General features: G+C 38.9%; 1 protein-coding gene and 1 long non-coding RNA gene across 8 annotated transcripts in view; one reads left to right on the top strand and one right to left on the bottom strand.

Moving 5' to 3' along the window:
- Positions 1 to 12,537, top strand: part of DPYD (dihydropyrimidine dehydrogenase) — an 843,317-nt gene that overhangs the window by 551,234 nt on the left and 279,546 nt on the right. The gene's annotated exons all lie outside the window — the stretch shown is intronic.
- Positions 1 to 12,537, bottom strand: part of LOC105378867 (uncharacterized) — a 48,351-nt gene that overhangs the window by 16,184 nt on the left and 19,630 nt on the right. For both annotated transcript variants that reach the window (XR_007066237.1, XR_007066236.1), the window contains exon 2: positions 2,625 to 2,828. This is a non-coding gene — a long non-coding RNA (uncharacterized LOC105378867). The remainder of the gene's footprint in view (positions 1 to 2,624; positions 2,829 to 12,537) is intronic.

Below are 12,537 nucleotides of genomic sequence, written 5' to 3'. Positions count from 1 at the left end.
TTAAGTGGACATCTTGTACTTAAAGTGGCTAGAATAGAACCCTTGGTCTTTTATACTGGAGGCTGCGCTTCCATTTTAGTTAACGGTGTCAATAACCCTGATGCTTAAGCAAAGGTGAAAATATCATTCGGCTTTGGTTGCATTCATTCCAAAGAATCAAAGTTGTATTACAGCATGAAAAATAAAATATGACTCTTCTTCCATTCCCTCCCAACAACCCTCTGAAGCCGGTTGAGTTTTTGTTCCATTTTTCACAAGGCAGAGGCCCTCGAGTTTCCCAGGTCAAAGATTTGGTCAGTGGCTTCTAGACCTGCACTTTGATTTGATATTAGCCTGAATAAAGGGAAGTTGTCTAGAACAGTTCCTAATAAGTAGGTATTGCAATATCAATGTTAAGTATCAGTATTGTTAACTGAAAATTAAGTGCAGGATTACATAGGCTCTAAAGTTGTCTTTATAATTCTATTTCATTTCTCTAAATATATGAAACTACAAGCAAACCTGAATCCACTACTTAGGTTCTGTCTCCTGCGACTCAAGGTGCTTCTCTGGTGTATTAGCATCCAAATTTAAAGTTGTCTACATGCAATTTATATAATTCCATTTTCTGTAACAGCATATTACTTAATAGATTTAATTGTTTTATAACCAATTCTGTAAAATTCAGCCAAAATGACACCTTTTTGAGGTTTTCCCCTTTTCCTACATGCTACATGTTCTTACCACATTGAGTACTAACCCTCTTTTAGCCTACTAAAATTATATTACATATTTTACTTCCATCCTGCAGAACCTTCTTACCCAGTTCAGGCTAGTACTGAATAGACCTCGAGTAGGCCTTTGTATTGTTGTGGTTGTTGTGTTTTTAAAATTATTGCCAACAATAGGTGGCAAAAAAATCCTATTATTTCTGTTAAAATAATGACAAGATATGGCCTTCCCTGGCCTGCATTGTCATGCAACAATAACAAGGTAGACCTTAACTAGGCTCCTCTGACACTGTTTCTGGTGCATGTGAATAGTAGCAAACATTTGACTAAGAATATGTGCTCATTCTCAAACATGAATTTGACCAGTATATATCTTTCTGATTCACCTTTTAATATCAAGACCAACCTTCCCCAGGAGTTCTACTGAACCTCTGAGTTCCTGACATTGTTGTCTTTGGGCTGCCTTCTTTGGCCAGCAGTACCTTTAATTCTTAGACCTTCCATCAGCTATCAAAAGAAAAATAGTTGCCCAGGAGCTATAAATGGAGTGAGATATGTGGTAAGAGGCCTTGCCTTCCATATGGCAATAAAGAAGAGCAAGATGCAGCATGCTCCACAGGACTTCTCAATGCTAGTCATATAACCCTCTTGGGATGATTTTCTTTTTCCTGCCATCAGAAAACCTAAAGCTGCTTACTTCTTTTCCTTGAGTTGATGACGGGGCATAGTAAAGCACAGAATTTTGTGACTGAGAAGAACCTTAAAGATTTTCCAATTCATCTCCCTTATATACAGGATAGGAATTAAGGACCAGAAAAGTGCTTAATCTGCCTTAGCCTAAGGTAACCAAGTAGCAAGTCCCACAGCTTTAGTGCCTTTGTTACTGACCCCTGTCTAGTGTTCTGTCTAGTATTCCCAACTGTGTTATTTTGGCGTATCAAAGTTTCTGGTCAAGCAGGAAAAGTCAACGCATTGCCCTGGCTACTCCCTACTATACCTTTTTGCATACAATTATTATTCCTTCTGCTTGGAATTTATACCTTCTCAGCTGGAATTATCCAAATGGAAATCACCTCTCTAATTCTATTTCAAATGACATTCTAATTCATGAGCTGGGTGTATATTATCAGTCAATCAAACTTTCCATGAGGAAGGAAGAAGAATATATGTGAAAGGGTTTAAAGATAGAAACCCAGTGCATACTCACATTTGAATCTGTAGTGACCTAGAGCTTGAATCACTGTCAAAGAATTTGATTTCTTTACCTAACAGTTCCAAGAGGCTACAAAGATGTTATTTCCCTAGCCCTCGATGGATTCCAATTGTTCAGTGGTTTGAGTGCCTTCATTGTAGGTATGATTGCTAAAGAGTGAACAACTATTTAGTATACACTCATTTAGTAATGATTTCTTTGGATAGAAAGTTCAAAAATGATAGTATAATCAGAGAGAAGACTGCCGTAGCTTTACAGGCAAATAAGGACCTGAACAAAGATGGCAGTACAACCGCTATCATCTGTTATATCTTGCCACCTCACAGTCCCCTTCCTGCGTTTAATCATATTGTTCAATTCTATGCATAGAATTTTTAAATATTAGAATGTTCAACTCAAACAGTCCAAACATTAGTTTTGTCATCAGGGAGATGTATGAAGTCCTGCTTTCATGACGATTTAGCTAAGCAAGAATAAAAGGTTTAAAAGTGGTAAACCTTAAAATTGATTTTTAAAGATTATTACTCCAAATACCACCCAGAGCAATACTTTGATAATTCTTTCACGATCTGTTCTATGTTCAAACTTAATTTGCATAAAACTGTATGTTTTTTTTTTTAAAAAAAAGAGAGAGGCTTTGTTTCTGTTTCAACATGCCAGCATTTTTTCATTAGACATTAACCACAGATTATTACTCTTACCCTTGCCAGAAAGCAGACGTCCGTCATCAGGAAGAGAATCCAAACCAAGTGTGAGGACCACAGTGCCCCAGATGTGCTAGAATTTCCCCTGGGAAATAAAGTCTTCCTTCAGCAGCTGGCTTAGCAGACCCTCTATCTCATATGCAATGCAGTGTCCAGGGAGCAATGACCACAGCCCTGCTTGGATCAGACCCCCATAGATGTCTGTGGAGGAGACAATATGAAGACACTTTTTTAAAACCAAAACAGCTGAAAAGTCATAGTATTTTCCATATTTCCCAGAGTTGAAACTCAGGAGTTTGGGAATATAAGAAATCCCAAAGGTTAGAGAAAAGAATGTGGGAGCCCCAGCACTTGTAAAATACAACAAACTTAAGCCACAGTAGCCTCCCTGGCATCTCATGGAGAATCTAAGGTGAGGATCACTGCTGAGTTCTGTTCGCTTTTTGATACTGATTAGGTATGTGCTCCTGAGACATCTTCTGCAGGTTCTTGATTCTTCTCATTCCTTGTGACTTAAGCCTCTATGAGCTATGTATGTGGAGAATTATCCTGAATGTGATGTTTAGTTATGCCGGAATCAGCATGGACACATGTAGGTTTGGGCTAGAGAGTTGGAACTCCAGGTCTATGATTTGACTTGATAAGTATGGGATAGACTAGGTTGGCCTCAGTGGGATGATCCCCTGAGGCATCACTTTTATGGGTTTGAAAATCATTGCACTATGAAATAACATAGTTCCATGAAGAAACATGAGAAATGACTGTGTGGTATAAGCTTCTGCAAAAGTGACTAAAATCTGATGTTAGCCATATTCATTGGATTCATCCTATTTTATTTTCCTCATAGCATTATAATTTTTGAAGTTCTTTAAAATAAATTATCCACTTGTTTATGAGAAAAACTATCTCTAATCAAAAAAAATCTGCTTTATACTATATTATGTTGCCCAACTTTTTATTTGATTTTAATTCTCAGCCATTTGATAGACATGGGTGCTTACATAAGTAGATAAACTACAGGAAATCTGTAAGAGACATTTATGTAACTGCCAATATTTTGCCTACAGCTGGTTCTCTATGAGTTTTTCAATTATAGTTATTAATGTTGGTAATGATGTAAAAATTTTTGCTGCTTTTAAAAGTTGTAATTTTTTTAGTTGAAAGCAACACCGTTTAAATCTAACTGAATTATCAGTTCTAGGTCAGGAAATATTGTTGTTTTTGTGTAGCCCAACCATTATGTGGCAGTAAAAAACATTATATATAGGCCAGGCATGGTGGCTCATGACTGTATGCCAGCACTTTGGGAGGCTGAGGCAGGAAGATTGCTTGAGCTAAGGAGTTTGAGACCAGCCTGGGCAACATGGCGAAACCCCGTGTCTGCTAAAAACACACACACAAAAATTAGCTGGATATGGTGGTGTGCACCTGTGTTTCCAGCTACTTGGGGTACTGAGGTGGGAGGATCACTTGAGCCTGAGAGACGGAGGTTGCGGTGAACTGAGATCACACAACTGCACTCCAGCCTGGTGAATGTTACAGGAAAAACAGCTAACTATGGATTTTTTTAACTTACTTGGTTTTTATTGTTCTCATTTGTTTTATTCCAGAAATAAGCAACAAAAGTATTTTTTAAGTTTTTTAAAAATCACCCTCAAATATTTGTTCACATCACAGTGAGTTTGAGAAATATAGCAGAATTCTCTATGTATTTGTTGACTATAGCATAAGGATGAAATAAAAATGTCATAAAGAGAGACAGAGACAGAGGTGAGATGGAGGAGAGGCTATGGTCTTAGTTCATGATTTCATGAAGAGTTCAGGTAATGTAATGTCACAGAAGAATAATAGAGATTGTCAGGGCAGAGTAGAGACAAGGTGGGACACCAAGATTGCTAAGAAATGAATATTGGCAGGAAAAGGGAGGGTCTAGTTACGTGATCTGACTGGCCTAGAATATTGGAAGAACTGGTGGACAAGACTGAGTCATGTATTAGAAGCCACAAATGACTCGAGAGTAAAGGAGACTGCATTTCAGGCTAAAAAGCAATATTGGACCAGAAAACTAGTAAGTACTCAGCGGCTGAGAGTAGAGCCAACAGAGTTCAAGATAAGGCAAGAGAGAAGATAAGGAATAAGACAAATTAAACGAAGGTATCAGAGGCACCACCTTCACAAAGACCTTAAAATTAAGGTACTTCTACCGCAAAGAGAAATTTGTACACGCTTCCTGCTGAGGTAGTCAGTCTTTTATGGTGCAGTCAGTTTAAGGTTTCCAACTGCGATAGGTGAGCTGTCAGGAAGGAGGCGTATGGATTTGCCTGACTAGAGAAGGAGATAAGGTAAGTCAAGAAAAATAAAGTTATTAAAATTACGGCATTTTACAACTTAGGAGTATTGGCTGAAGACTGAAGGCTCTTTTGTCATGATCATTGGGGAAGCCATATTCTCTGAGAACTATTACAACCCCCCAGACAAACACGAGGTGGTGCTTATTGATAATCACAGATTTTATACCAACATGAAGTCTCTCTTGACATTGTTTATATTGCAGAGATCTTATTGAAAATTTTGTTTTATACCTAACTTTGTTTTTGTTCTCTCACCAAAAGCACTTTAAGTATCAGTATGCTTAATGAATATATGTACTCTCCAAAAAAAAGTTTTGTTTAAGGAAAAATCAATTTAAAGCATGAATTACAATTTTACTGTCTTTGAGATGTCTTAAACATCTTTGACTCTTTCCTCATGTTATTTATTTATTTTTTTCTAGGATTGATTGCTTGAGTTTTTGCCCCTTTCTCCCTATTTGTTGCTACTGGGTCTATTCAGTTTTGAAAGTCCTCATAGATAGGTTGCAAATTCCATTAACCTTAGTATGTGTTCATGATTCATCAGAAAAGAACATGCAGCTTTCTTCTCTTATTTGTAAAATGTCTAACCTTCTATTAAGTGAATGGAAAACTTTGTTGCAATTTTCCTTTGCCAACATTTTTTCTTTCCTTGACCACACCAAAACTGTAAACAACATGGCAGGCTTGGCACTCCTGTTTTTCCTGTAATTGTGTTTTGGGTAACATGGAAGAAATTGATATATGAAGGGATAACAGTATCTTTTCTCTTCTAATATCTGTATAGATATAGATATAGATATAGATATCATGGAATACTACTCAGCCATAAAAAGAATGAAATAATGTCTTTTGTAGCAACATGGATGGAACTAGAGGTCATTATCATTTTTTATACGTATAATTTAAGTTCTAGGGTACATGTGCACAACGTGCAGGTTTGTTACGTAGGTATACATGTGCCATGTTGGTTTGCTGCACCCATCATCTCATCATTTATATTAGGTATTTCTCTAATGCTGTCCCTCCCCCTGCTCCCCACCCCATGACAGGCCCTGGGGTGTGATGTTCCCCATCCTGTGTCCAAGTGTTCTCATTGTTAAATTCCCACCTATGAGTGAGAACACACAGTGTTTGGTTTTTTGTCCTTGTGCTAGTTTGCTCAGAATGATGGTTTCCAGCTGTATCCATGATCCTGCAAAGGACATGAACTCATCCTTTTTTTATGGCTACATAATATCCATGGTGTATATGTGCCACATTTTCTTAATCCAGCCTATCATTGATGGACCTTTGGGCTGCTTCCAAGTTTTTGCTATTGTGAATAGTGCTACAATAAACATATGTGTGCATGTGTCTTTATAGTAGCATGATTTATAATCCTTTTTGTATATACCCAGTAATGGGATCACTGGGTCAAATGATATTTCTAGTTCTAGATCCTTGACAAATCGCCACACTGTCTTCCACAATGATTGAACTAGTTTACAGTCTCACCAACAGTATAAAGGCATTCCTATTCCTCCACATCCTCTCCAGCATCTGTTGTTTCCTGACTTTTTAATGATGGGCATTCTAACTGGCATGAGATGGTATGTTATTGTGGTTTTGATTTGCATTTCTCTGATGACCAGTGATGATGAGCATTTTTTCATGTGTCTGTGGCTGCATAAGTGTCTTCTTTTGAGAAATGTCTGTTCATATCCTTTGCCCACCTTTTGATGGGGTTGTATGTTTTTTTCTTGTAAATTTGTTTAAGTTCTTGTAGATTCTGGTTATTAGCCCTTTGTCAGATGGGTAGATTGCAGAAATTTTCTCCTATTCTGTAGGTTGTCCGTTCACTCTGATGGTAATTTATTTTGCTGTGCAGAAGCTCTTTAGTTTAATTAGATCCCATTTGTCAATTTTGCCTTCTGTTGCCATTGCTTTTGGTGTTTTAGACATGAAGTCCTTTCCCATGCCTGTGTCCTGATTGGTATTGCCTAGGTTTTCTTCTAGGGTTTTTATGGTTTTAGGTCTAACATGTGAGTCTTTAATCCATCTTGAATTAATTTTTGTGTAAGGTGTAAGGAAGGGATCCAGTTTCAGCTTCCTACATATGGCTAGCCAGTTTTCCCAGAACCATTTATTAAATAAGGAATCCTTTCCCCATTTCTTGTTTTCGTCAGGTTTGTCAAAGATCAGATGGTTGTAGATGTGTGATGTTATTTCTGAGGCCTCTGTTCTGTTCCGTTGGTCTATATAGCTCTTTTGGTACCAGTATCATGCTGTCTTGGTTACTGTAGCCTTGTAATAGAGTTTGAAGTCAGGTAGTGTGATGCCTCCAGCTTTGTTCTTTTTGCTTAGGATTGTCTTACCTATGTGGGCTATTTTTTGATTCCATATGAACTTTAAAGTAGTTTTTTCCAATTCTGTGAAGAAAGTCATTGATAGCTTGATGGGGATGGCATTGATTCTATGAATTACCTTGGGCAGTATGGCCATTTTCACGATATTGATTCTTCCTATCCCTGAGCATGGAATGTTCTTCCATTTGTTTGTGTCCTCTTTTATTTCATTGAGCAGTGGTTTGTAGTTCTCCTTGAAGAGGTCCTTCACATCCCTTGTAAGTTGCATTCCTAGGTATTTTATTCTCTGTAGCAATCGTGAATGGGAGTTCGCTCATGATTTGGCTCTCTGTTTGTCCGTTATTGGTGTATTGGAATGCTTGTGATTTTTGCACATTGATTTTGTATCCTGAGACTTTGCTGAAGTTGCTTATCAGCTTAAAGAGATTTTGGGCTGAGACTATGGGGTTTTCTAAATATACAATCATGTCATCTGCAAACAAGGACAATTTGACTTCCTCTTTTCCTAATTGAATGCCCTTTATTTCTTTCTCTTGCCTGATGGCCCTGGCCAGAACTTCCAACACTATGTGTAATAGGAGTGGTGAGAGAGGGCATCCCTGTCTTGTGCCAGTTTTCAAAGGGAATGCTTCCAGTTTTTGCCCATTCAGTATGATATTGGCTGTGGGTTTGTCATAAATAGCTCTTATTATTTTGAGATATGTTCCATCAATACCTAATTTATTGAGAGTTTTTAGCATGAAGGCTGTTCAATTTTATTGAAGGCCTTTTATGCATCTATTGAGATAATCATATGGTTTTTGTCATTGATTCTCTTTATGTGATGGATTACATTTATTGATTTGCGTATGTTGAACCAGGCTGGCATGCCAGGGATGAAGTTGACTTGATCGTGGTGGATAAGCTTTTTGATGTGCTGCTGGATTCGCTTTGCCAGTATTTTACTGAGGATTTTTGCATCGATATTCATCAGGGTTTTTGGTCTAAAATTCTCTTTTTTTGTTGTGTCTCTGCCAGGCTTTGGTATCAGGATAATGCTGGCCTCATAAGATGAGTTACGGAGGATTCCCTCATTTTCTATTGATTGGAATAGTTTCAGAAGGAATGGTATCAACTCCTCTTTGTACCTCTGGTAGAATTCGGCTGTGAATCTGTCTGGTCCTGGACTTTTTTTGGTTGGTAGGCTATTAATTATTGCCTCAATTTCAGAGCCTGTTATTGGTCTATTCAGAGATTCATCTTCTTCCTGGTTTAGTCTTGAGAGGGTGTATGTGTCCAGGAATTTATCCATTTCTTCTAGATTTTCTAGTTTACTTGGTAGAGACGTTTATAGTATTCTCTGATGGTGGTTTGTATTTCTGTGGGATCCGTGGTGATATCCCCTTTATCATTTATTATTGTGTCTATTTGATTCTTCTCTCTCTTCTTCTTTATTAGTCTTGCTAGCGTTCTATCAATTTTGTTGATCTTTTCAAAAAGCCAGATCCTGGATTCATTGATTTTTTTAAGGATATTTTGTGTCTCTATCTCCTTCAGTTCTGCTCTGATCTTAGTTATTTCTTGCCTTCTGATAGCTTTTGAATTTGTTTGCTCTTGCTTCTCTAGTTCTTTTAATTGTGATATTAGGGTGTCAGTTTTGGATCTTTCCTGCTTTCTCTTGTGGGCATTTAGTGCTATAAATTTCTCTCTACACACTGCTTTAAATGTGTCCCAGAGATTCTGGTATGTTGTGTCTTTGTTCTCATTGGTTTCAAAGAACATCTTTATTTCTGCCTTAATTTCGTTATTTACCCAGTAGTCGTTCAGGAGCATGTTGTTCAGTTTCCATGTAGTTGTGCAATTTTGAATGAGTTTCTTAATCCTGAGTTCTAATTTGATTGCACTGTGGTCTGAGAGACAGTTTGTTGTGATTTCTGTTCTTTTCCATTTGCTGAGGAGTGCTTTACTTCCAACTATGTGGTCAATTTTGGAATTAGTGTGATGTGGTGCTGAGAAGAATGTATATTCTGTTGATTTGGGGTGGAGAGTTCTGTAGATGTCTATTAGGTCTGCTTGGTGCAGAGCTGAGTTCAAGTCCTGGATATCCTTGTTAACCTTCTGTCTCACTGATCTGTCTAATATTGACAGTGGACAGTGGGGTGTTAAAATCTCCCATTATTATTGTGTGGGAGTCTAAGTTTCTTTGTAGGTCTCTAAGGACTTGCTTTATGAATCTGGGTGCTCCTGTATTGGGTGCATATTTATTTAGGTTAGTTAGCTCTTCTTGTTAAATTGATCCCTTTACCATCACATAATGGTCTCTTTTGATCTTTGTTGGTTTAAAGTCTATTTTATCAGGTACTATTATTGCAACCTCTGCTTTTTTTTTGCTTTCCATTTGCTTGGTAGATCTTCCTCCATCCCTTTATTTTGAGCCTATGTGTGTCTTTGCATGTGAGATGGTTCTCCTGAATACAGCACACTGATGGGTCTTGAATATCCAGTTTGCCAGTCCATGTCTTTTAATTGGAACATTTAGCCCATTTACATTTAAGGTTAATATTGTTATGTGTGAATTTGATCCTGTCATTATGATGTTAGCTGGTTATTTTGCCTGTTACTTGATGCAGTTTCTTCCTAGCATTGATGGTCTTTACAATTTGGCATATTTTTGCAGTGGCTGGTACTGGTTGTTCCTTTCCATGTTTAGTGCTTCCTTCAGGAGCTCTTGTAAGGCAGGCCTGCTGGTGACAAAATCTCTCAGCATTTGCTTGTCTGTAAAGGATTTTATTTCTCCTTCACTTATGAAGCTTAGTTTGGCTGGATATGAAATTTGGGTTGAAAATTCTTTTCTTTAAGAATGTTGTATATTGGCCCCCACTCTCTTCTGGCTTGTAGAGTTTCTGCTGAGAGATCCACTGTTAGTCTGATAGACTTCTCTTTGTTGGTAACCCGACCTTTCTCTCTGACTGCCCTTAACATTTTTTCCTTCACTTCAACCTTGGTGAATCTGACAATTATGTGTCTTGGAGTTGCTCTTCTCAAGGAGTATCTTTGTAGTGTTCTCTCTATTTCCTGAATTTGAATGTTGGCCTGCCTTGCTAGGTTGGGGAAATTCTCCTGGAAAATATCCTGAAGAGTGTTTTCCAACTTGGTTCCATTCTCCCCATCACTTTCAGGTACACCAATCAAATGTAGATTTGATATTTTCACAGAGTCCCATATTTCTTGGAGGCTTTGTTCGTTTATTTTCACTTTTTTTTCCTCTAAACTTCTTGCTTTATTTCATTAATTTGATCTTCAATCACTGATACCCTTTCTTCCACTTGATCAAATTGGCTATTGAAGCTTGTGCATGTGTCACGTAGTTCTCGTGTCATGGTTTTCAACTCCATCAGGTCATTTAAGTTTTTCTCCACACTGTTTATTCTAGGTGGCCATTCATCTCATCTTTTTTCAAGGTTTTAAGCTTCCTTGCGATGGGTTCGAACATCCTCCTTTAGCTCAGAGAAGTTTGTTATTACCAACCTTCTGAAGCCTACTTCTGTCAACTTGTCAAAATCATTCTCCATCCAGCTTTTTTCTGTTGCTGCCGAGGAGCTGTGATCCTTTGTAGGAGAAGAGGCACTCTGATTTTTAGAATTTTCAGCTTTTCTCTTCTGGTTTCTCCCCATCTTTGTGGTTTTATCTACCTTTGGTCTTTAATGTTGGTGACCTACAGATAGGGTTTTGGTGTAGATGTCCTTTTTGTTGATGTTGATGCTATTCCTTTCTGTTTGTTAGTTTTCCTTCTAATAGTCAGGTCCCTCAGCTACAGGTCTGTTGAAGTTTGCTGGAGCTCCACTCCAGACCCTGTTTGCCTGGGTGTCACCAGCGGAGGCTGCAGAACAGCAAATATTGCGACCTGATCCTTCCTCTGGAAGCTTCGTCCCAGAGGGGCAGCTGCCTATATGTGGTGTCTGTCGGCCCCTACTGAGAGGTGTCTCCCAGTTAGGCTACACGGGCATCAGGGGCCCACTTGAGGATGCAGCCTGTCCTTTCTCTGAGCTCAGACACCATGCTGGGAGAACCACTGCTCTCTTCAGAGCTGTCAGACAGGGATGTTTAAGTCTGCAGAAGTTTCTGCTGCCTTTTGTTCAGCTATGCCCTGCCCCCAGAGGTGGAGACCACAGAGGCAGCCAGCCTTGCTGAGCTGCGGTGGGCTCCACCGAGTTCTAGCTTCCCCAGCTGCTATGTTTACCTATTCAAGCCTCAGCAATGGCAGATGCCCCTCCACCTGCCAGGCTGCTGCCTCATAGGTTGATCTCAGACTGCTGCGCTAGCCATAAGCAAGGCTCCTTGGGCTTGGAATCCACTGAGCCAGGCGCAGGATATAATCTCCTGGTGTGCCATTTGCTAAGACCATTGGAAAAGCACAGTATTTGGGTGGGAGTGTCCTGGTTTTCCAGGTGCCATCTCTCACGGCATCCCTTGGCTAGGAAAGGGAAATCCCCCAACCACTTGTGCTTCCCAGGTGAGGTGACACCCCCACTGCTTCAGCTCATCCTCAGTGGGCTGCACCCACTGTCCAACCAGTCCCAATGAGATGAACCAGGTACCTCAGCTGGAAATGCAGAAATCACCCATCTTCTGCATTGATCATGCTGGAAGCTGCAGATCGGAGCTGTTCCTATTCGGCCATCTCAGAATGGAATCCTAGAGGTCATTATCTTAATTGAAATAACTCAGAAACGGAAACATATTCTCACTCATAAGCAGGAGCTAAATAATTTGTACACATGGACAAAGACAATGGAATAATAGTCACTGGAGACTCAGAAGGGTGGAAGGGTGGAAAAGGGTTAAGGTATGATAAACTACTTAATGGGTACAATATGCAGTATTTGGGTGAAGGCTATACAGAAAACTCAGATTTCACCAGTATGCAATATATCCATGTAACAAAACTGCATTTGTATCCCGTAAGTCTGTTTTAAAAAGATAGTACTGGAAGTCCTTACCAGACCAATCAAGCAAGAGCCTTACCAAACCAATCAAGCAAGAGAAAGAAATTAAATGCATGCAAATAGGAAAAGCAGAAGTCAAATTGTTGCTGTTTACTAACATGATCTTATATGTAGAAAATACTAAGGATTCCACCAAAAAAAAAAAACACTGTTAGAACTAATAAATTAACACAGCACAGTTGCAGCATACAAAATCAATAAACAAAAATCAATGATGTTTCTGTAC

This window comes from Homo sapiens, chromosome 1, assembly GCF_000001405.40.
Source record: "Homo sapiens chromosome 1, GRCh38.p14 Primary Assembly".
NCBI classification, from domain to species: domain Eukaryota; kingdom Metazoa; phylum Chordata; class Mammalia; order Primates; family Hominidae; genus Homo; species Homo sapiens.
Note: the sequence above shows the minus strand (reverse complement) of the source record. Positions and strands in the feature narration are given on the sequence as shown.